The 23,771-nt window shown below is 37.7% G+C and overlaps 1 protein-coding gene and 1 long non-coding RNA gene across 14 annotated transcripts in view; one reads left to right on the forward strand and one right to left on the reverse strand.

Moving 5' to 3' along the window:
- Nucleotides 1-13,828, reverse strand: part of RANBP3L (RAN binding protein 3 like) — a 54,990-nt gene extending 41,162 nt beyond the window's left edge. For all 13 annotated transcript variants that reach the window (XM_006714455.5, NM_001323278.2, XM_006714453.5 and 10 more), the window contains exon 1: nt 13,252-13,828. In XM_006714455.5, the coding sequence (XP_006714518.1) occupies nt 13,252-13,342 (91 nt within the window). In that variant the 5' untranslated portion in view covers nt 13,343-13,828. The remainder of the gene's footprint in view (nt 1-13,251) is intronic.
- Nucleotides 1-23,771, forward strand: part of LOC124900962 (uncharacterized) — a 109,210-nt gene that overhangs the window by 46,173 nt on the left and 39,266 nt on the right. The window lies entirely within an intron of this gene.

Genomic DNA, 23,771 nt, shown 5'->3' on the forward strand with positions numbered 1-23,771 from the left:
TTGACAAATGTGTGTGCACAAGTAACCAAAACCCTATCAAGATATAAAACATTTTTATTGCCCCAGTGTGTTCCTTGTGTCCTGTTCCAGTTCTCCTCCCTGGGCAACAACTGTTCTGATGTCTATCACCATGGCCTAGTTTTGCCTGTAGAAATATGTACTCTTTTGTGTCTGGCTTATTTTCACTCAATAAAACATTTCTGAGATTCACCTACATGGTTACATGTATCAGTAATTCATTTCTTTTTACTACTGAGTAGTATTCCAGTGTGTTAATATACCGCAATTTGCTTACCAGTTTACTTGCTTATGAACAGTTTTGGGTTGTTCACATGTTGGGGCTCATATGAATAAAATCTGCTACGAGCATTCTTGTGCAAGGCTTTCGTGGATATATTTTTATTTCTCTTGGAAAAATACCTAAATACGGAACTGTTGGATAACAGGGTACTTTTGGGTTTAATTATATAAGAAACTGCCAAACTGTTTTCCAGAGTGGTTTTTACCACTTTCCAGCAGCGAGTGAGTTCTGGTTGTTTCACATCTTCTCCAAGCATCATGTTATCACCATTTAAAATTTTAGCCATTCTAGTGGATGTAAAGTGACATTTCATGGTGGTTTTATTTTGGATTTCCCTGATAACTGATAACGTTGAACATCTTTTGATGTGCTTTTGGCCATTTATATACTTTCTTTTTGAAGTGTTTGCCAGATCTTTTGCCCATTTTTAAATCAAATTGTTTATCATGAGCTGTAAGAGTTTTTAACATATTCTGATTGAAAGTTCTTTTTCAAATATATATTTGACATTTTTCTCCCAGTCTTTTCTTGGTGGTATCTTTTGAAGAACAGATATGTTTAATATTGATAGTCTAACTTATCTATATTTTATGGTCAGTGCTTTTTTGTCAGTCTAAAAAGCTGCCTTTTTGATGGTGAAGATATTTTCCTACATTTCTTCTAGAAGCTTTGTATATCTAACTTTTGTGTTTCAGTTATATTCTATCTCAAACTAATTTTTGTGTGAGGTAGGTATTGTGGTTCATTTTCAGAAATATTTTTCCCCATTTGTTCCAGGATTCTTACAGAAAAGCTATCCGTTCTCCCTTTGAGTTATCTTGATAACTTTGTCAAAAACCAACTGACAATGTACTAATAGATCAATTTCTGGACTTTATATTCTGTTCCAATAATAGATTTTTCTATCCTTACACTGATATCATCTTGATTTATTATAGCCTGAAATCCAAAAATGTAGGTTGTCAACTTTGTACTCTTTTTCAAGATTGATTTAGTTATTCTAGGTCCTTAATATTTCCTTATCCTTTTAAAATCAGTTTGTCAATTTCAAAACAAAAAATCTGCTGTAATTTTTATTGAGATGGCCTTGACTCTATAGGTCAAGTTGAGGACGATTGACATCTTAACAATATTGAGCATTCCAATTCATGAATTTGGGATGTATCTCTTCTTATAATTCAGTCTTCTTCAGCTTCACACTGCAATGTTTAAGTGTACAAGTCTTGCACGTATTTTGTTAAATTAATCCGTATTTCCTTTTTATGCTATTAAATGAGTACTCTAATATTTTTAATTTCCACTTGTTGTCAGCTAATATATAGAAATACGATATTTTTTGTATGTTGACTTTGTAGCCTGATACCTTAGTAAATGCATTTATTAGTTCTAGCATTTTTTGATAGATTTCTCAGGATTTTTCTACAAATACCATCAATCATCTGCAAAAAAAAAAAAGATAGTTTTACTTCTTTATTTCCAATATGTAAGCCTTTTATTTCTTTTTCTTAACGTAATACACTGGCTAGGATCTCCAGTACACTGTTGAATAGAAGTGATGATAATGGACATCTCTGTTTATTTTTCCTAATCTTAAGAGGAAAATGTGCAATCTTCTACATCGAGTAGTGTTAGCTGCTGGGTTTCTTGTAAATGTTTTTCATCAGGTTGAGGAAGTTGCTCTATTCCAAATCCCTTGAGTTTTTATATCAGTTGGTGTTGAATTTTATGTTCCTCTACATCTTTCTGGCACAAAGGTATTCATAACACTCCCTTACAATCCTTTTAATATCTGTAATGACACCCTCTACATCATTCCTCATACTGGTGGTTTCTCTCTCTCTGTCTCACCTTTTTTTTTTTTTCTTAGAGCCTCACTCCATTGCACAGGCTGGAGTGCAGTGACACAGTCTTGACTCACTACAACATTTACCTCCCAGTTCAAGCAATTCTCATGCCTCAGCCTCCTGAATAGCTGGGATCACAGGCACATGCCACCACACCTGGCTAATTTTTGTATTTTTAGTAGAGATGGGGTTTCACCATGTTGGCCAGGCTGGTCTTGAACTCCTGGCCTCAAGTGATCTGCCCACCTCGGTCTCCCAAAATGCTGAGATTACAGGTGTGAGCCACCGCACCCGGCCATATCTCTTTTTATTGATTAATCTAGGTAGGGGTTTATTAATTTTATTAATATTTTGAAAGAAGTAGCTTTGGGGAATCATGGAGGAGCAGACTACTTTCTCATGACTTTGTTTTTAGGAATGGAAAAATAAAGGATTTTTTTTTTTATTTTGTGTGTGTTAAGTCCAACTTCAAAAGTGTAATTAGGGATGGCCTTGGACAACCATGGCTTTTTTTTTTTTTTTTTTTTTTTGAGATGGAGTCTCACTCTGTTGCCCAGACTGGAGTGCAGTGGCGCGATCTCGGCTCACTGCAACCTCTGCCTCCCGGGTTCAAGCGATTCTCCTGCCTCAGCCTCCTGAGTAGCTGGGACTACAGGCACATGCCACCATGCCTGGCTAATTTTTTTTTTTTTTTTTTTGTATTTTTAGTAGAGACAGGGTTTCACCATGTTGGCCAGGATGGTCTCGATCTCCTGACCTCATGATCCACCTGCCTCAGCCTCCCAAAGTGCTGGGATTACAGGCGTGAGCCACCATGCCTGGCCCGGCTTTTTTGTAGTGGTAAAATATACTTACCATAAAATGTATCATTTTAACCATTTGTAAATGTACAGCTCAGTAGTGTGAACTGTATTCACATGTTTGTATAACCAATCTCCAGAACTCTTTTCATCTTGCAAAACTGAAACCCTGTACCATTAAACAACATATCCTCAATCCTTTCTGCCCCAAAACCCTAGAAGCGCCATTCTACTTTCTGTCTCTCTAAATTGCTCATGTAAGTGGAATCAGACAGTATTTATCTTTTTGTGACTGGCTTATTTCATTTAACTTTTTTATTTTTTAATTTTTTATTTTTTTATTTTTATTTTTTTTCAGTTTTAGCTGTATCTTATTTATTTTTATTATTATTATTATACTTTAAGTTTTAGGGTACATGTGCACAATGTGCAGGTTAGTTACATATGTATACATATGCCATGCTGGTGCGCTGCACCCACTAACTCGTCATCTAGCATTAGGTATATCTTCCAATGCTATCCCTCCCCTCTGCCCCCACCCCACAACAGTCCCCAGAGTGTGATGTTCCCCTTCCTGTGTCCATGTGTTTTCCTTGTTCAATTCCCACCTATGAGTGAGAATATGTGGTGTTTGGTTTTTTGTTCTTGTGATAGTTTACTGAGAATGATAATTTCCAATTTCATCCATGTCCCTACAAAGGACATGAACTCATCATTTTTTATGGCTGCATAGTATTCCATGGTGTATATGTGCCACATTTTCTTACCTCCAGTCTATCATTGTTGGACATTTGGGTTGGTTCCAAGTCTTTGCTACTGTGAATAATGCCGCAATAAACATACGTGTGCATGTGTCTTTATAGCAGCATGATTTATAGTCCTTTGGGTATATACCCAGTAATGGGATGGCTGGGTCAAATGGTATTTCTAGTTCTAGATCCCTGAGGAATCGCCACACTGACTTCCACAATGGTTGAACTAGTTTACAGTCCCACCAACAGTGTAAAAGTGTTCCTATTTCTCCACATCCTCTCCAGCACCTGTTGTTTCCTGACTTTTGAATGATTGCCATTCTAACTGGTGTGAGATGATATCTCATTGTGGTTTTGATTTGCATTCTCTGATGGCCAGTGATGGTGAGCATTTTTTCACGTATTTTTTGGCTGCATAAATGTCTTCTTTTGAGAAGTGTCTGTTCATGTCCTTCACCCACTTTTTGATGGGGTTGTTTGTTTTTTTCTTGTAAATTTGTTTGAGTTCATTGTAGATTCTGGATATTAGCCCTTTGTCAGATGAGTAGGCTGCGAAAATTTTCTCCCATTTTGTAGGTTGCCTGTTCACTCTGATGGTAGTTTCTTTTGCTGTGCAGAAGCTCTTGAGTTTAATTAGATCCCATTTGTCAATTTTGGCTTTTGTTGCCATTGCTTTTGGTGTTTTAGACATGAAGTCCTTGCCCATGCCTATCTCCTGAATGGTAATGTCTAGGTTTTCTCCTAGGGTTTTTATGGTTTTAGGTCTAACATTTAAGTCTTTAATCCATCTTGAATTGATTTTTGTATAAGGTGTAAGGAAGGGACCCAGTTTCAGCTTTCTACATATGGCTAGCCAGTTTTCCCAGCACCATTTATTAAATAGGGAATCCTTTCCCCATTGCTTGTTTTTCTCAGGTTTGTCAAAGATCAGATAGTTGTAGATATGCAGTGTTATTTCTGAGGGCTCTGTTCTGTTCCATTGATCTATATCTCTGTTTTGGTACCAGTACCATGCTGTTTTGGTTACTGTAGCCTTGTAGGATAGTTTGAAGTCAGGTAGCGTGATGCCTGCAGCTTCATTCCTTTGGCTTAGGATTGACTTGGCGATGCGGGCTCTTTTTTGGTTCCATATGAACTTTAAAGTAGTTTTTTCCAATTCTGTGAAGAAAGTCGTTGGTAGCTTGATGGGGATGGCATTGAATCTGTAAATTTCCTTGGGCAGTATGGCCATTTTCATGATATTGATTCTTCCTACCCATGAGCATGGAATGTTCTTCCATTTGTTTGTATCCTCTTTTATTTCCTTGAGCAGTGGTTTGTAGTTCTCCTTGAAGAGGTCCTTCACATCCCTTGTAAGTTGGATTCCTAGGTATTTTATTCTCTTTGAAGCAATTGTGAATGGGAGTTCACTCATGATTTGGCTCTCTGTTTGTCTGTTGTTGGTGTATAAGAATGCTTGTGATTTTTGTACATTGATTTTGTATCCTGAGACTTTGCTGAAGTTGCTTATCAGCTTAAGGAGATTTTGGGCTGAGACAATGGGGTTTTCTAGATAAACAATCATGTCATCTGCAAACAGGGACAATTTGACTTCCTCTTTTCCTAATTGAATACCCTTTATTTCCTTCTCCTGCCTAATTGCCCTGGTCAGAACTTCCAACACTATGTTGAATAGGAGTGGTGAGAGAGGTCATCCCTGTCTTGTGCCAGTCTTCAAAGGGAATGCTTCCAGTTTTTGCCCATTCAGTATGATATTGGCTGTGGGTTTGTCATAGATAGCTCTTGTTATTTTGAAATACGTCCCATCAATACCTAATTTATTGAGAGTTTTTAGCATGAAGGTTGTTGAATTTTGTCAAAGGCCTTTTCTGCATCCATTGAGATAATCATGTGGTTTTTGTCGTTGGTTCTGTTTATATGCTGGATTACATTTATTGATTTGCATATATTGAACCAGCCTTGCATCCCAGGGATGAAGCCCACTTGATCATGGTGGATAAGCTTTTTGATATGCTGCTGGATTCGGTTTGCCAGTATTTTATTGAGGATTTTTGCATCAATGTTCATCGAGGATATTGGTCTAAAATTCTCTTTTTTGGTTGTGTCTCTGCCCGGCTTTGGTATCAGGATGATGCTGGCCTCATAGAATGAGTTATGGAGGATTCCCTCTTTTTCTATTGATTGGAATAGTTTCAGAAGGAATGGTACCAGTTCCTCCTTGTACCTCTGATAGAATTCGGCTGTAAATCCATCTCTTCCTGGACTCTTTTTGGTTGGTAAGCTATTGATTATTGCCACAATTTCAGATCCTGTTATTGGTCTATTCAGAGATTCAACTTCTTCCTGGTTTAGTCTTGGGAGAGTGTATGTATCGAGGAATTTATCCATTTCTTCTAGATTTTCTAGTTTATTTGCGTAGAGGTGTTTGTAGTATTCTCTGATGGTGGTTTGTATTTCTGTGGGATCGGTGGTGATATCCCCTTTATCATTTTTTATTGTGTCTATTTGATTCTTCTCTCTTTTTTTCTTTATTAGTCTTGCTAGCGGTGTATCAATTTTGTTGATCCTTTCAAAAAACCAGCTCCTGGATTCATTAATTTTTTGAAGGGTTTTTTGTGTCTCTATTTCCTTCAGTTCTGCTCTGATTTTAGTTATTTCTTGCCCTCTGCTAGCTTTTGAATGTGTTTGCTCTTGCTTTTCTAGTTCTTTTAATTATGATGTTAGGGTATCAATTTTGGATCTTTCCTGCTTTCTCTTGTGGGCATTTAGTGCTATAAATTTCTCTCTACACACTGCTTTGAATGAGTCCCAGAGATTCTTGTATGTTGTGCCTTTGTTCTCGTTGGTTTCAAAGAACATTTTTATTTCTGCCTTCATTTCATTTAACTTAATGTCCTCAGGTTCATCCATGTTTTAGCATGTGTCAGAATTTCCTTCATTTTTAAGGCTGAAAATTATTTGGTTTTATATATATATATATGTATAGTGTGTGTATATATATAGTGTGTATGTATAGTGTATATATATAGTGTATATATGTATGTATGTTTATATATACATATATATGACATATAAACATATATATACTCATACATATATAGTGTATATATACACTATATATACATATATGTGTGTATATATACATATATAATATATGCATATATACATATGTACACTACATATTATATATGTATGTATACATATATATACACACACATATATATACACACCATATTTTGTTGATCCATTCGTTTGTCAGTGGAGATTTGTTTGTTTCCATCTTTTGGCTATTGTGAATAATACTACCATGAGCATAGGTGCACAAGTATCTGTTTGAATCCCTGCTTTTACTTCTCTTAGGATTTTATCCAGAAGTAAAATTGCAGGGTAACATAGTAATTCTATTTGTTAATTTTTTGAGGAACTGCGTGATATGGTTTTGCTGAGTCCCCACCCATATCTCATCTTGAATTGTAGTTCCCATAATCCCCACATGTCATGGGAGGGACCCAGTGGGAGGTAACTGAATCATGGGGGCTGTTACCCCCATGCTGTTCTCATGATAGTGAGTTCTCATGAGATCTGATGGTTTTATAAGGGGCTTTTCCGTCTTTGCTCGTCACTTCTCCTTCCTGCCACCATGTGAAGAAGGATACGTTTGCTTCCCCACTTCTGCCATGATCATAAGTTTCCTAAGGCCTCCCCAGCCCTGTGGAACTGTGTGTCAATTAAACCTCTTTCCTTTATAAATTACCCAGCCTCAGGGAGTTCTTTATAGCAGCATGAGAACAGACTAATACATTGCCATAGTACTTTTCACAGCAGCTCCACCATTTTATCTCCTGCAACAGTGCACGAGGTTCCAATTTCTCCACATTCTCACCAACATTTGTTATATCCTGTTTTTTTTTTTTTTTTTTTCAAATAGTAGCCATCCTAATATTTGTGAAGTGGGAAAATGAAGTTTCAGCCATTAAACTTATTTATTTATTGTTTCCTAGTGGACTCTATTAGGAAGGCTTATTATGGAACTATCTAAGGGATCCTTACATAGTTCCAAGGAAGGGGCTGTCACATCAAAAAGCCCAAACATGTGATTAGAGATTGGAAATTTCAAACCCACCCCATTCCCCTAACTTCCTAGGAGGAGAGAAGAACTGGAGATTAAGTTCAGTCATATGGCCAATTATTTAATCAATCATGCCTACATAATGAAACCTCATTAAAAACCCTGGACACCATGCTCAGGGGAGCTTCCTGATACTAAGAGGGCGGCACACCCTGACTCTGTGGAAGCAGAGGCTCCTGTGCTCATGACCCTTCCAGTCCTCCTCCCATGTACCTCTTCATCTGGCTGACCATTTGTATACCTTATAATGAAATGGAAATTGAAAGTACAGAGCTTTCCTCAATTCTGTGAGTTGTTCTAGTGAATTATCAAATCTGAGGGGTTGTGGGACGTCTTTAATTTGTAATTGTCCTGGCAGAAGTGCAGATTGCTTGGGGACACCTGAAATTTGTTGTTGGAATCTGAAACGGGGCAGTCTTATGGGACTAAGTCCTTCATTTGTGGGTCTTCACTAATTCTGGGTAGTGTCAGAATTGAATTGAATTGTACGACACTCAGAGAATAAGTGTCAGAAGACAAAAAGAAAATCATGAGGAATTCCAACATGTCTTGGTTATCCATGGAGAAGTTTCTCTAGTATAGATCAATTTAAAAAAATTAAACATTGTAATACTAGAAATCATAGATTTTACGAGACAGCTGTATGTGGCAGAAAGTACATTGAAAGCAGCTCTTAATAACTGTGTAACCTTGGAAGAGTCATCTTGACCTTGAAGATTCACGGTTTCCACATCTTTATAAATAAGGATAACAATACCTGCTCGTGATTATTAGTTTTATGTGTCAGCTTGGCTGTTCCATGATACCCAGATATTTTGTCAACATTCTGAATGTTTCGGTGAGGATGTTTTTGAATGAGGTTTACACTTAAACTAGTAGACTTTGACTCAAGCAGATTGCCCTTCATTAGTGAGTGAGTCTCATCTAATCAGTCAAAGGCCTGAATAGAACAAAAGACTGACTACCCCAGAGCAACCAAGAATGGACTCAACTGCAGAATTAGCTCTTCACTTGGGTCTGCAGCCTGTCAGTCTACACTGCAGTTTGGACTTGCCAGCCTTCATAATTGTGGGAGTGAATTTCTTAAAATAAATCCCCCTCTCTCTCACCCTCTCTCTTCTCTCTCTCTATTCTCTCTCGTTAAAATTTTGCATATAACTTTTGCTGCTCCCAAAACTTAATTATTAATAGCCTAGAGGTGACCAGAATCCTTATCAATAACATAAGACAGTCGATTAATACATATTTTATATATTATATGTGTTATATACTGTATTCTTATGATAAAATAAGCTAGAGAAAAATGTTATTAAGAAAACCATAATGAAGAGAAATATATTTACTGTTTATTAAGTGGAAGTGGATTGTCATTAAGGTCTTCATCATTGTCTTCATTTTGAGTAGGCTGAGGAGGGGGAGGAAGAGGAAGGGTTGATCTTGCTGTCTCAAGGGTGGCAAAGGAAGAAAATCCACATATAAGTGGATCTGAACAGTTCAAATTTGTGTTGTTCAGGAGTCACCTGTATACACACACACACACACACACGCACACACACACATCCTATTGGTTCTGTTTCCCTGAAGAAGCTTGACTACACTATTTCATTTGGTTGTTGTGAAAATTAATGAAATAATGTATATGAGACCATTTGTAAATTTTAAAGCACCATAATACATAAGGAAGGTTGTCTGCCTAGTACATGTAATGTGTAATGAGCTTTGCTGAGGCTGTATAGACATGTAAATTAACGTTTACAAATGTGTTCATAGAATCAATATTAGAGATAAATGGATTAAAAATATCACAGGAGAAGCTAGAAGATAGCAACAAGTTGGGAGATGAGCCTCCTGGACTTGTGTTCTGGACTGATAGAGCATTTGTTGTCATAGTAAACTCCACGTGGACAGAAAACCATGGCTTAGTTGTCTTAGTTCAATTTGCATACTCAGCATCTAGCACAACACTTTGCACCTTGTTGTTGCCCAGATAACTGCTGAAGAATAAGTGATTTTTATCTATGTAATCACTTCAAAATTACACTTCTGTGAGTGACTAGGTGGAAGGACACGAAGCATTTTAGCATATGGCATGGGGGGTTAGAAAATATATATGTGTTGAGGTCAGTGCGGTGGCTTATGCTTGTAATCCCAGCACTTTGGGAGGCCGAGGTGGGAAGATCATGAGGTCAGGAGTTCGAGACCAGCCTCACCAATATGGTGAAACCCCCGTCTCTACTAAAAATAAAAAAATTAGCCAGGCATGGTGGAGTGTGCCTGTAGTCCGAGCTACTCAGGAGACGGAGGCAGAAGAATCACTTGAACCCGGGAGGCAGAGGTTGCAGTGAGCCGAGATCATGCCACTGCACTCCAGCCTGGGTGACAGAGTGAGACTCCATCTTAAAAAAAAAAAAAAAAAGGAAAAGAAAATATGTATGTGTTGAAGCTAGTCACGCCTACAGAAGTGTCGAATGTCAATTAATCATAGTCTGTATGCTAAATAATAGAGGCAGAACTTTAGGCTGGCTGGGGAAAGGCCAAAGCCGTGAACCCAGGATGATTCCATGAATAAAGCCAGACCTCACTCTCTAAAACAAATGGCTTTGCTTCCTGGGACCTTTGCTGAACTTCACATAATAGCAAGGTGCAAAAATAGCTTGGAGGAAAAAGCAGGGCCACTGCTCTGAATGAATACTTTAAAACTCCAGGACAGTAACTGGAATGCAATTTAGCAACACAGCAAATACTACCCAGCTCAAATCACTAGATGATATTTCTTGCAGCAATCAATGGCCAGTCTGGACTGCATTAGCATGCTTCACAACTTTATGGATTGTGGCTTATGTGGGCAGATATTTTGAGACTTGGGTGTGGAAGAATATGCTTGCTTTCAAAACATTCTAGGCAAAAAGCTAAGTCTGAGAAAGAAGACCAGTCTTGTGGGTATTTTGGGAAGTATGTCATCATAGTGATTATTTCCAGGCTTCTCTGGATATTGCCAGTGTGATGGTTCATGCTGAGTGTCAACTTGATTGGATTGAAGGATACAAAGTATTGATCCTGGGTGTGTCTGTGAGGGCGTTGCCAAAAGAGATTAGCATTTAAGTCACTGGGCTGGGGAAGGCAGATCCACCCTTAATCTAGTGGGCACAATCTAATCAGCTGCCAGCAAATACAAAGCAGGCAAAAAAACGTGAAAAGGTGACTGGCCTAGCCTCCCAGCCTACATCTTTCTCTCTTGCTATTTGTCCTTGAACATTGGATTCCAAGTTCTTCAGTTTTGGGAGTCAGACTGGCTCTCCTTGCTCCTCAGTTTGCAGACAGCCTATTGTGGGACCTTGTGACTGTGTAAGTTAATACTTAATAAACTCATCTTTATATACATATACACACATATATACACATACGTATATCTGTATATATATACACATACATATATGTGTGTGTGTGTGTGTGTGTGTGTGTGTGTATATATCCTATTAGTTCTGTCCCTCTAGAGAACTTTGATTAATACAGCCAGTAAAGGAGAGATCTTCAGGATAGCCTGGCTTAAAACAATAGTGGGGTATTATTTTTCACCTATAAAATTGAGAAGGAGTTTAAAAAATAATAGTATTACTGAGAACATACCCCAACACTGCTGATAGGAGGGTCACTTGGCCAAAAACAATTTTTAAGAATGTATAATCCTTTGACTCCACAATTTCACTTCTAAGAATTTATGCGAAGAAAATAATCCCATATCAGTGCAAAGATCTATTCATTAGTTTAGGTGCAGTCCAGTGTTAATTATAATAGTTAAAATATTAGAAATAAATAATATATCTAACAGTAGAGAATTGCCTAAGGGAATTTTGCTACATCCATATAAAGGAACAGTGTGCAACTGTTAAAAATAAGGTTGTAGAAGAATATTTAATGACCTGGAAATTTGTTCATCCTCTGTCATTAAATTAAAAAGCAGTTTACAAAACACTGTTTACAAAAGTATCCAGAACAAGTCTATATTGTTTAAAAAGCAAGCAAAGGAATAATCCATACAAGTGCATAGAAGAAAAGTCTAGAAGTTTATACATTAAAATGTTAATAGCAATTATCTTTGGGTGGTGGGGTTACAGGTGACTTCTTTAGGCTCACCCCCACCAAATTTTCTATTAAAATTATCATATTAGCAATTGAAGTGGGGGGAAGTCACTTTAACATTTCATACAAAGTCAACAGAAAACAAAAACCTCTGATAAACTAGAATTGTTTACTAACAGAGAAGCAAGAGCATTTTACAGTGCTATGCCTTAACCCTGACACATTCCAGGACTTTACATTCTAGGGTACTTGGTTCAAAATTTATTTGAGCACTAGTAGTAAAGCATGGTCTAAAAGTTCACATTGTTTTCATTTACCATGAAGTATTTTCTGCCGACACTATGCTAAGCCTTGTAGAGCATGAAGTCATGTTATACAGCTCCAGGAACCGATGCAGAGAGGTGGCCTGACACATTCATGTGACTGTTAGCACACAGATTCCATCTTGGAAATGGGAGGTTTTGGCCCTTTAGCCAACACTCTCCACACCACTGAAATCTAAAACTGCGTCTACAGAAAAATAATTAAAGAGCTCATTGCCTAGACCTACACATAAAAAGATCTATCCTAGGTTATTGAGGAGAAGTTAGAAGTGTCTGGTGAATCCTTAACCTCTGTGGAGTGATGATGTCATCCATGAGAGACCCAGCCTTTCCCACAAGTGTCATTTGCTGTCCCTGACAGGGTGGATTGGAGGGATCATCTTGTCTATTCATGTCAACCATCTGACACTAACTCAGCTGGCTGGAGAGTGGATTTGAAAATTTAAAAAGACTGATGGTGAAAATGGCTGGGAGGTAGATAGTTTAGTTTGAATGAGTGCCCAGCAAGTGAAATGTGACACTTTTCCCTGACTGTCTCCAGATGTCCCTGGACCATAAAAAGGAAAGAGTCAAGAATATATTTATTTTTCCCACAATGAATGAGCCAGAGATCCAGACAAACTTAGGCTTAAACAAAGTGAAAAAAGTGTCCCACCAGTGGTACTATGGTAGAGAAAGCTCCAGGCTAACTTAAAGCTACTCTCAGCTGAAATCCCCCTTGTAGCTGACTCAGCCTTGCTCAGATGGGTGTTTTGAATTAGACAAAATCTAGCATACTCTAAAAAACACAGTGGCTAGAAGTTTAAGCATGTAAGTTTCAGAATGACAGCTCCAAGGAATATGCATTCTTGACAGTCTTCCATAGTCCTCTAAAAATCAATAGTGAATCCAAGTTAACCCACCCTTATGCATCACTATTATGTCAGAGCTTCCCCGGGTCCTTCACCAGCCCACCATTCTTCCTGGAATGCAAATGCACAGAAGGTCACAGAATATGCAACTCATGAGCTGGACGGACTCACCTTGCTGTCGCCGGTCCTCCTGCAGCTTCAGTTTACAGGTGTGCAAACTGCCAGGCAGGTGGCTGCTGCCTTTTCTTGGTATGGTAGTCATGGTCCTAGCAGTATGGCTGTGACTCAAGGATCACTAGGGCACCTCCTTCTCTGGCCAGTCACCTAAAGTGGCCTTCACCAGACACCCAGAAATACATAGATTCATGCAGATCTTGTCTTTGCATGTACAACATATACTCCTCTACTAAACTTCCAAGCTTTTTCCAGTCATGATTCTTGAAATAAATAATCACCAATGTTACTTCTCCTAAATATAAAGATGCCAATTCATTTGGTTAAAAACACAACTTAATTCCTTCATTTCAAAACAAATTGAAACTAAACCTCCTTATAGAGTAAAATTCTACAAATTAACTATTTCTAACAGATTACACTTTTGTCATTTTTAAATTCCTTTTGGCGACATGAAATCCAATGCCTCCAGTATTTAGAGAAGGCTGCTAAAATAATACAGACACAAAGAAAAGAAAAAGTGCTGCTGAGTTAAGTCAAGTGATTTCTAAGCCTGATCTGAGTTACCCTCTGTGACAGCTGAAAGTGTACAGTTCTTAAGGGACTCTGGAAGGAGGAGGAGCAAAGTGGGCTAGGATGATTAGCATAAAGAGGCAGGCAAGACGGGCATTGGAGCTGCTTTGAATAATAGTGAACAAAGCACAGATTCTAAAGATGCCCTGCCCTTATGTTACAGTAACTGAGTACCTGATTTCTGCTACTTTGTTTGTAATTAAAATGCAAGCTGAAAGCAGGAGTTTATACTGCAAGGACATTCATTTGTGCATGTGAAATCTAAAAGGTATAAATGGAACTGGTAATGAGCTCATGGAAATGTACTGCTGGAACTTTCAATTTCTGTAAACACCTCCTAGTCTTCGGAAGGGAGCAGTTAGAGGGCAGCCTTCCTGCCAAGGCAACTATTTGGAGTTCTGGAAGAAAAATAAACACACAAAACATTATCTTTCCAGAGTCCTATTTCTGTTTCCCACTTAGAGTTCTTATTGCTACTTCTAGGTCATAGGAGAAAGTAATTTCCAGTTTTACTCGTTGGCTATTTCCTTACTGTTTGGAAACATAAACCCCAAACACCATTAATTTAACTTGAGAGCTTGCCATAACTGAAGTCATAATGAATGCTGGTAGGTCCTGCCCTTCAAGAGTCACAGCTCTTCGCAGATTCAGAAAGAAGGTAGTGGGCAGGACTAAGGAGAAAGGCAGAGCTGTTTAGCCTCGAAGTCTGGACTCTGCAGCTTCTTATGTGCATTTGGAAATTGGTGTTAAACTTGACACTGTAATGAATTTACCTCCTAACCAGATCTGGGTGGCTGCCCTCATTTTACTTTGAGGCAATTAACAATTCCCCAAGTATAGTCTGGTTTATGAAAATTTTTATGAAGTAGGTGATTGATCTTTTATAATTCTTGAATGCTTTAATTGTTTCAGTAGTCTATCTACTGCAGTTTTAGGCTAATCACAGTGTAACAGATGACAGAAGTGTTGTGCTACTTTGAAAGAGAGTCTTGTTATTGGAGAGTCATAGTTTCTACTTTAAATGTCTGCTATTCATCTCATCTTCCACAAAAGCCATGGTGGAGAGACAAGGTGATTTTTCCTGAATATGTAAAGTTATTGTTATTCTATCAAGTTATGTACCTCACTAATAAGCATATTATTATACAGGTAAGTTAAATAACCTACAAAACTGTAAGCCAGCCCTTTTGAGAAATACATTTAAAATGTTTTATGATGAAAAAATTTAAAAATACATGAATAGGAGAGAATAGCACAATAAGCCCTGCATACTCATCACTTGGCTTCAATATTATCAACTCATAGACAATCGTGTCTTAAAACTATGTGTTTCATTATAGCTGTTCTCCCCCTTATTACACCACTGGAGTTGAAGCATCCAGACATCATTGCATTAATAAATATTTCAGTGTATATTTCTAAAATGTGAGGATTTAAAAATAGATAACCATAATAAGATAGTCACGCACATAACAATTAAATATGATTATTTGATGTAATTAAGCATCCACACAGTGTTCTTATTTTCCTGATTGTCTCATAAACTTTTTTATCTTTACATTTTTTGCAAATTGGGACCCAAAGGTCCACACATTGTATTTGGTTGATATGTTTCTCAAGTCTTTTTTAATCTATAGGTTCATCTCAGAGAGAAATGTTGCTTGGAGATGAACATCTACACTTACCCTAATTTATGTCTGATTTTTTCAAGGAAGCCCCCTAGATGCCTCCATTTTTCTTACTCAGGAAAAAAAGAGAAAAAAAAAGGGTGGTCATCTGGCCATGGAGGCTAAGACATCCAGCTTTCTTGCCATGGTGTTCTCATTCATATACAGTGCAACCTTGACCCAGCCACTTAACATTTCTGGGTTTGTGTCTTCATTTAGCATATGAAACAAATGTTTGCTAAGCAATGGGATAAATTATTCAACACTCATTCTATGGATATAAAGGCCTGGGAAAGGGAGGAGTATCCTACTTTGTCTCTGACTAGAGCCTAAGGAGAAAGAAATAGATTTAAAACTAAAATCTGGGTAGGATTTAGGGGTATATTTGAAAATCTAGTCCCTCAGTTTTCAAACTTAGCTAAGAATCATAATTACCTAGGCCATATTGTAAAGATGTAGATTCCCGAGCCCCAACTGCACAGTCTGATGCCTAAGGTGCAATCTGGAATCTATATATTTTTATAAGTCCTCTAGTCTAAATAAACAAGCATTATCTGCTTAAACGGAGCTGGTTTGTTCCACTATTTCATTCATTACATCTTTCTTGAGGGCCGAAGAAACCAAACCCTCCTTAAACAGTAATTTCAAGTGCCACAACGTAAGGGGACAGGGAGGATACAAAGGAATGCTACTGGTTCCTCTTTCGTGCATCAACGAGGCAGTCCCAGGCAGTGGCCTTGTGAGGGATTAGCTGAGTCAAGGGAATCCTGGGTTCCTACACTGCCTGTTAAGTTCCATTGCTGTTCTCGAAGGAGTCTCTGGTTTGATTTACCAGTTTCCACTGGAAATCATCCAGCATGGCAGAAAGCAGCACGTTACAGGAGTACATAAGATAACCTCAGATATATCAGCTACAGTGGGATGGGGGACTACTTTGCTTCCCCCTTTCCCCACTTACTTTCCAGAAACATCACCAAATTAGTTCACAGTGGGCATATTGTTCCTTTTTTTTGCATAAATGAAAACAAGAAATCAGATTGCAGAAGTCTGGCTGGGTCAAGAAAGAGGTGAATCATCTTTGGCATTTTTACTTACAATTGATTAAAAATGAATTTGAATCCTATAAAGGCCAAACTTCTTCCCTTATCAAGTCTCTGTGATCCCCACAAAAGGATACCACTGGTTTCCTTTTCCTGGGGTTTTCCTTATCTGCCATATCTTCTCTGCTTAACCTGTGTCTTTGTACTTCCGGAAGAGTAGAGTGAAATGGCGCATCACAGATAATCAATCATACCAGCTGGCACTTTGGGGGTCGATACTTCAAAAAATTGATATTTTATTGCTAGAATTTATACCTCAAAAAGCACAGTGTGTGGCTGAACAAGCTAAATGGTATTAGGTTTACAGGAGGGTTTACTTTTCTCAGTTACCATATTCAAAAAGCAAGGACACATGCATTTAAAATTAGTCCACAAGTGAGTTACTTGTTTAGTTAATAACCTGCCATGTTTCAAAAGCATTTGTGATGTCTAGTCTGCAAGTATATCTATTATTTGAAGGCCTTTGGACTGCTTGGAATGATAGGTGCTATATAAATAAAAAGCAATATTATTGAATTTATCACTCTCATTCTTAGAGAATAAGTTTAAAGACCCCTATCAGCAGGCAAACATGAAAACTGTGGCTGGGATTAGCCTCATTATGATCCCCAAAGTACTACAGGAATTATTAAATGATCATTATAGTTGAAGGCTGATGAATTAGTGTCAAGATTTTAGATTTTCTGTTGATTTTAAAAAACAGATCCCCTGCTCCTTTATATCAAGCAGTGGTTGATTTGTTTCCAGATTACTCTTCCTTAATACACAATCAGATATATTATAGATGAGAATGTTGAGTTTCAGGATCTCACAGTGGCTTATGTATGGTGTATATTGTAAAGCCTCCACAAAGGTAGGCTTTCGTGGCTATTCAGAGCCATGTTATTACCCCAATGTACTATAGTGTTTAGCTCATAGAGTTTCCCAGGTGGCACTGTTGGCTGGATTCCCATAACTGCCATCTGTAAAAACATAGGAAACACAAATAATGGTAGAGATAGTTTCACTTGAATACTTGCTCCTGTCCGTGGATTCAAGAGACTACACTGGCATAGCACCAAACTGCTTACTTATCAAAGCTGCTCTCTATCCTGAAATTGCTACAATTGATCTTTAACCCATTGAACACCAACATTTGGGTCATGTTTATCATAAATATTGCCTCACTACATAAACATTGCGTTGGCAGTTCAGACTAATTTGGGCCCTTTTGCTGCTGAGCCTTAGATTTGGCTGCCTCAGGGCTCCCTCTGGAGGTCGGCAGAGTCCAAGGTCAGTTAATATTAAAATAGCCTTGGCCTTGGCACAAGATAAACCCATGTCTTTTCATCCAGTGCCCACAAGAATGGGGTCCTGTATTTGTGAGCTTAGAAGATGATTGTCTGTATCTGAGGTTGGAGGAAAGTTACCTGATTATCCTCCTGTAAGTGAAATGTGATTACTGCTATGTGCTGGTATTTAACTTTCTGAAGTTTTACATTTTTCTATCTTTATTGAAGTGTTTTAGCTACAGTGAAAACAAAACGAAATAAAACCATAGGTCAGAAAAATGCCAGATTTTATTTTATTTGTTTGTTTTAGTGACAAGGAAACCTAGAGTAAGGTGGTTCTGGTTCTATAATGACCACCCTCTGGGTAGGAACAGATGATCCCACAGAGTCTGAATTCCATCTAGAAGTGTTTGAAGCACCTGGGAATTGGAATCAATGGGTTTACAGCACAACTTAACTCTTTGAAGGTAAATATGCACTAACTGGGATCAGTTTCAAAATAAAGCAAATTAGCTTGCACCAAATCAAAATTTTACTACTTCATTTGAATTGGCATTTACAGGAATAAAATAATAGCAAACCATGTTTCTCACTCCCTTCCTCATAATTTCTTCTTTCCTTTTTAGTTGGTTTATTGGTTATTTGCTTCTTTCTTTTCTTCCTTCCTTCTTTCCTTTTTTCTTTGCATTTCTTCTTTCACTGATTTTCTTTTATATTAATTAGGCGGACTATAATGTAATTTTGATGTATTAAAAATAAAATTATTCTATATCTGAGATTTGCTTCAAAATAGCCTAGGAGAGTGAGATTTGGGGAGATAGAGATGAAATAAATTTGGCCATAAACAGATAATTATTAAAACTGAGTCATGAGTGCATGGGGATTTATAATGCTTTCATGTCTAATTTTGCATATTTTTACAATTTTTGTGATAAAGCACTTTAAAATATAATTACTTTTAGTGAACCTGATTGAAAGGGTACAAGGAACAGGCAATGTGCTAGATTTATCAGAGTGTGTACAGAAACTCTTTATTTTTTTCCTAATTTTTTACTTTTTACATTATACAATTCACACACAAAATATTTTGAAATGTTAACATTCAAATTAGTGTGGCAGTACTACATGAATACGATTTATAAACATACAAACAAACCCACATCGGGGTATATTCTCAAGCATTTGTTGTTGCTAGGGGTGCATGACCATCAAGTTCAGAGACCTCCATGAGAGAGGAAGAAGGCTGAACCTTATGGGAGGATGATGCACTCATTTAAAGAAAACCAAACCGTCATTTTACTTCTTCCTTCTCAACTGTGTAGCTATTCTTTTCTACATCCTTCTTCTAATTTTATTAGTACTTTATCAGTTTTACTTCTAAAATAAAATTGGGTTGTGTCTTACCCAGTTTAGGCTGCTATAGAAGATTATAATAGACAAGGTGGCTTATAAGCAACAGAAATTTATTTCTCACAGCTATGGAGGCTGGCAAGTGCAAAATCAAGGCACGGACATGGTCAGGTTCTGGTGAAGACCTTCTTCCAGACTGAAGACTGCTATCTTCTAATATTCTCACATGGGGAGAGGGTCAGAGAATTCTCTGAAGTCCCTTTTATAAAGGCACAAACCCCATTTATGAGAGCTCCACCCACATGGCCTAATTACCTCCCAAAGGCTTACCTCCTAATACTATCACATTGGAGATTAGGATTTCAATGTAATAATTTGAGAGAGAGGGCACAAAAGATTTAGTATTTAACAAGTTCCCTTTTCAAGGGTAGAAGAGAGTTTTTAATCCAAATTCAGCTCCATAATGGGCCATTGAAGAAAAAAATGTCTATGAGCTCTTTAGATTCCCTAGCTTCTTACTCTTGAACTAAAACTACTTGCATCCTAGCCCATAGATACTGTACATGAGTGCGCGCGCGCGCACACACACACACACACACACACACACACACACACACACACACTCCTTTTCTCTTCCTGGCATTTGCAACCGGCATGTGAGGATTAGGTGTTGTAGCTTAGATATTGATCTTTGGCTTCAAACAACAACATTGCCTAATGAGCTGCAGGTGAGAAATCCTAGGAACGCAAGAAAGCTCCTTGAACAGTTGTATCAGTAGCATGGCCATCAAAGTCCTCCCTCATTGCTCAATGAGGACCCAGAGAGACTGGGCTTGGAGAAACTGGAAGGGTCAGAATATAGGATCCTTTTCATGTCCTTAGTGGTCCAGTATGGGTAACCAAATGAAAGTGGTGGTGAATAAATCAAGGAAGAATCAACCTTCCACTTATAATCCTTTAAATTGCTCCTCAAATAGAGCTTGAAGCTCTCCCAGGACCTCTGAAACCTAGAATTAAGTGTTATTGGCACAATAAGACAAAACTACTGCATGTTTTTCTGCTCCCCTTTTCTGTGTTTTACAGATATCAGCTACATCAGCAAACATATACTTCTTCATTGTCAGCTTTTCAAAGTAAAAAATGTTTTTAGGATCAGGATAAGCAAACAAAACAGATGACCCTGGAGATCATTATACAATGTATACAATATCCTGTGTCACTTAAAATAAAACTAAAAAGAGAAATTGAATCTTAAATAGAAATTTTAATAAAGCAGTAGAGAAAAGGTGTTTTAAAATTACTCACTGGAAAAACTAATCAAAATAGCAGGCTGAGCATAGACTTCCAAATACATTTAAATGATATAAAAAGTTATACAGAGAGATAAAAAATATAGATGAACATACATTAGAAAGTTATCTTTAAGTATCTGCCATCATTGGATCATTAAAAGGACTTACTAAAGTAAAAAAGAGATAGGACCTGAACAATAAGAGTGGAATAAACTAGTAAAAGAAAATGCTCGGAGCCAATAAGTATGCATATCATTGCATATTAATGAAAGAAATGCCTGTGAAACAGTCATGTTTATCTGTAGGATAACTGGCAATTATTTATTAAGAATGTGAGTTATCTGCCTGGGAAAGGATTTAAACAGGAACCAGAAAGAGAAGCAGAGCCAGAAGTGCCGTAAGACCTCTGATGGATATATTTCTAGATGCCATGATCTACCATAACCCTGGCTTCAGGAGCTGAGTGCTTTGCAGTGGTTTCATCCGATAAATTAGTTTCTCTACAAGGTACTAAATGAGTCACATAGAGTCTGCATCTTACCCTCCATCCCTCCTTTCAAATGTTAGCCAGGGATTCTTTCTCTCTCTCCCTAAAAATATTGCTGCACCTGTAGTAGAGGGAAACAAAAGGCACAAACATAGAATCATCTAATCACACAGCCAAGAAATGTTAGAGACAAGAGACAATGCCACAGGGACAGTGGTAATCCACTGACATATTGTTTTAGCCTAAACAGAGCTTCAAATAATATTCAATTAACAATGAATATTTTTAAAGACCTATAGATTTTATATAAAATTCTAAATTTCAGGTTCTCATCACAAAATCAGACCCCCTACTTGTACCTCCTTCCCAAAAAGCCATTGTAATAGGCTCTAAAACACAGTAGCTCAAACAGGATAAACTTTTCTTTCTTCCTTACAAAATAGTCCAGAGATGTTCAAGTGGTCCAGAGTGGATAGGTGGCTGTATCTAAAGTTATCCAGGAAGCTTGGTTGCTTCTATTTTCTTGCTCCAAAAAAATTTACTTATTGTTAATATTTTGGATTTTAAAAAATTACTGTCTTTGCCAGAAAACAAATTCTTTTCCTTTTGTGGGAACTGATATATTAAATAAATTAGAGAAAATTTAAATCTCCTGCATCCAGTAGATGATAAATAGAAATATAAAACCACTAAATCTGTACTCCTTTAAATCAACAAAATATGACTTTTTTTTTTTCAAGACAGGCTGGAGTACAGGGGCGCAATCTGGGCTCACTGCAGCCTCCCTTCCAGGCTCATGCAATTCTCCCACTGCAGCCTCCTGAGTAGAATACAGGCACACCACCATGCCTGGCTAAATTTTTGTATATTTTGTAGAGACCAGGTTTCACCAGTTGCTGGACTCGAACTCTGGGGCTCAAGCAATCCACCCACCTCGACCCCCCAAAAATGCTAGGATTACAGGCAATCTTAAAATTTATCATGCACTGTTTTAAAAATTATAGATAGAGATATGGTAAGACAAAACAGACACAAACAAAAAGTTTTCACCAAAACATTATATATAACCTATAATGACATGGATGGTGCTAAAGAAGAGAGAGAAATATAAGGTGCACCTATTCATATGTACATAGATGCCTTGTTTGTACTAATAGCAAATGTCTATTCGATATTCCTTTCATAATCTTATTCACCCTGAAGCAGGCATTGTTGAGTGCCTGCCCAACAGCCATTTCCTACTTCCTTTTTTCGGATAGAACTCTGATCTTGTGCAGCCATCTGCTTCAGGAGAGGTGGTCCTCATCCCCTCAAAAGGGATTGGTCTGACTCATGATGAAGACCCCATCCTCCTTGCCAGTCACTGGTTTAGGCAGGACATAGGATGCTGTCGGGCCAATGATATGAGAAGGGAATCTACTGGACTAAGTGGTGGAGCTCTGGGAAAGGTTTTCTCACTGTTAAAAAGGAGGCAATGAGAAGAAATGGGTTCATTTTTCTGCTTCTGGATATTGTCATTAGGATATGAAATTCTAAAATGGCTTACAGGGACCTAGTCTGAAGAAAAGGTGGGACATTCCTGGGTCTTCGCATGACACTGTTGAGCCACAAAATTAACCAACCTAAGCGCCGCCCCACCTCTGGAATTCTTTTAATGTGAGATGATAAATTGCTTTATTGCTTATGTACTTAAGTGGAAGCTTCAACTTTAAGTTTGCTTGTCACTAAAAGCATCCTAACCAATGCATATTTCTTTGTCAGTTTATTAAAAATTCTGTTGCATTTTCCTTACCTGATTACTAAAAAGTAGTGTGTTTAACGGTGTTCCCCAAAAAGACATGTCCACATCCTAATTCCTGGAACTTGTGACTGTTATCTTATTTGGAAAATGGTCTTTGCAGATGCAATTAAGTTAATCTTGAGATAAAATCTTCCTGGATTACGGCAGGGCAAGGGTGCTAAATTCAATGATAAGTATCCTTGTAAGAGACACACCCCAGAGATCTAACAGACAGAAGAGGAGGAGGCATTGTGACCAGAGAGACAGAGACTGGAAGGATGCAGCCACAAGCCAAGAAACACCAAGTCATACCAACCACTCCCCAAAGCTGAAAGAGGCACAAACAGAATCTCCCCTAGAGCCTATGGAGGGAGCACAGCCCTGCCAACACCCCAATTTTGATCTTCGGGGCTCCTGAGAATTGTGAGACAATAAATTTCTGTTGTTTTAAGCCACCAGGTTTGTGGTAATTTTTTACAGCAGCCACAGGAAACTAATATATAAAAGTAGCACTGGAGAGGACTCAGTAGGAAGTCAGTTACCAACAACACTTACTAGCTTAACCATAGGCTTTCCTATGCATGGTAGCCAAACGTGAGGGTATTATAAATCTCTTTATATCGAGGGGGAGAAAAATATGTAGGACTAATTCCAAGAGGAACACCAACATAAACAAGTGTGTGTGTGTGTGTGTGTGTGTGTGTGTGTGTGTGTGTGTGTGTGTTTGCAAGGTATTTATTTCTTAATGAGTATTTTTCCCCATTTGGGATAAAAACCTAGGGTAGGATCTTTTTTTTTCCAAAAATGATGTGCTTATTTGTATCTTTGTCTTCAGTAGTATATACTCAAATTATTATTAGCAATTACCGCTGGGGAATGAAACTGGAGAGGATGAATTTCCTATTATACTTACGCTTATTTAATTTTATTTACAGTAAACTCACTATTTCTATTGTAATTTAAAAATTTAGTCAAAGATAATAGGTTCATATTTTCA

The sequence above is a fragment of the Homo sapiens genome, chromosome 5 (genome assembly GCF_000001405.40).
Source record: "Homo sapiens chromosome 5, GRCh38.p14 Primary Assembly".
In the NCBI taxonomy this organism is placed as follows: Eukaryota; Metazoa; Chordata; class Mammalia; order Primates; family Hominidae; genus Homo; species Homo sapiens.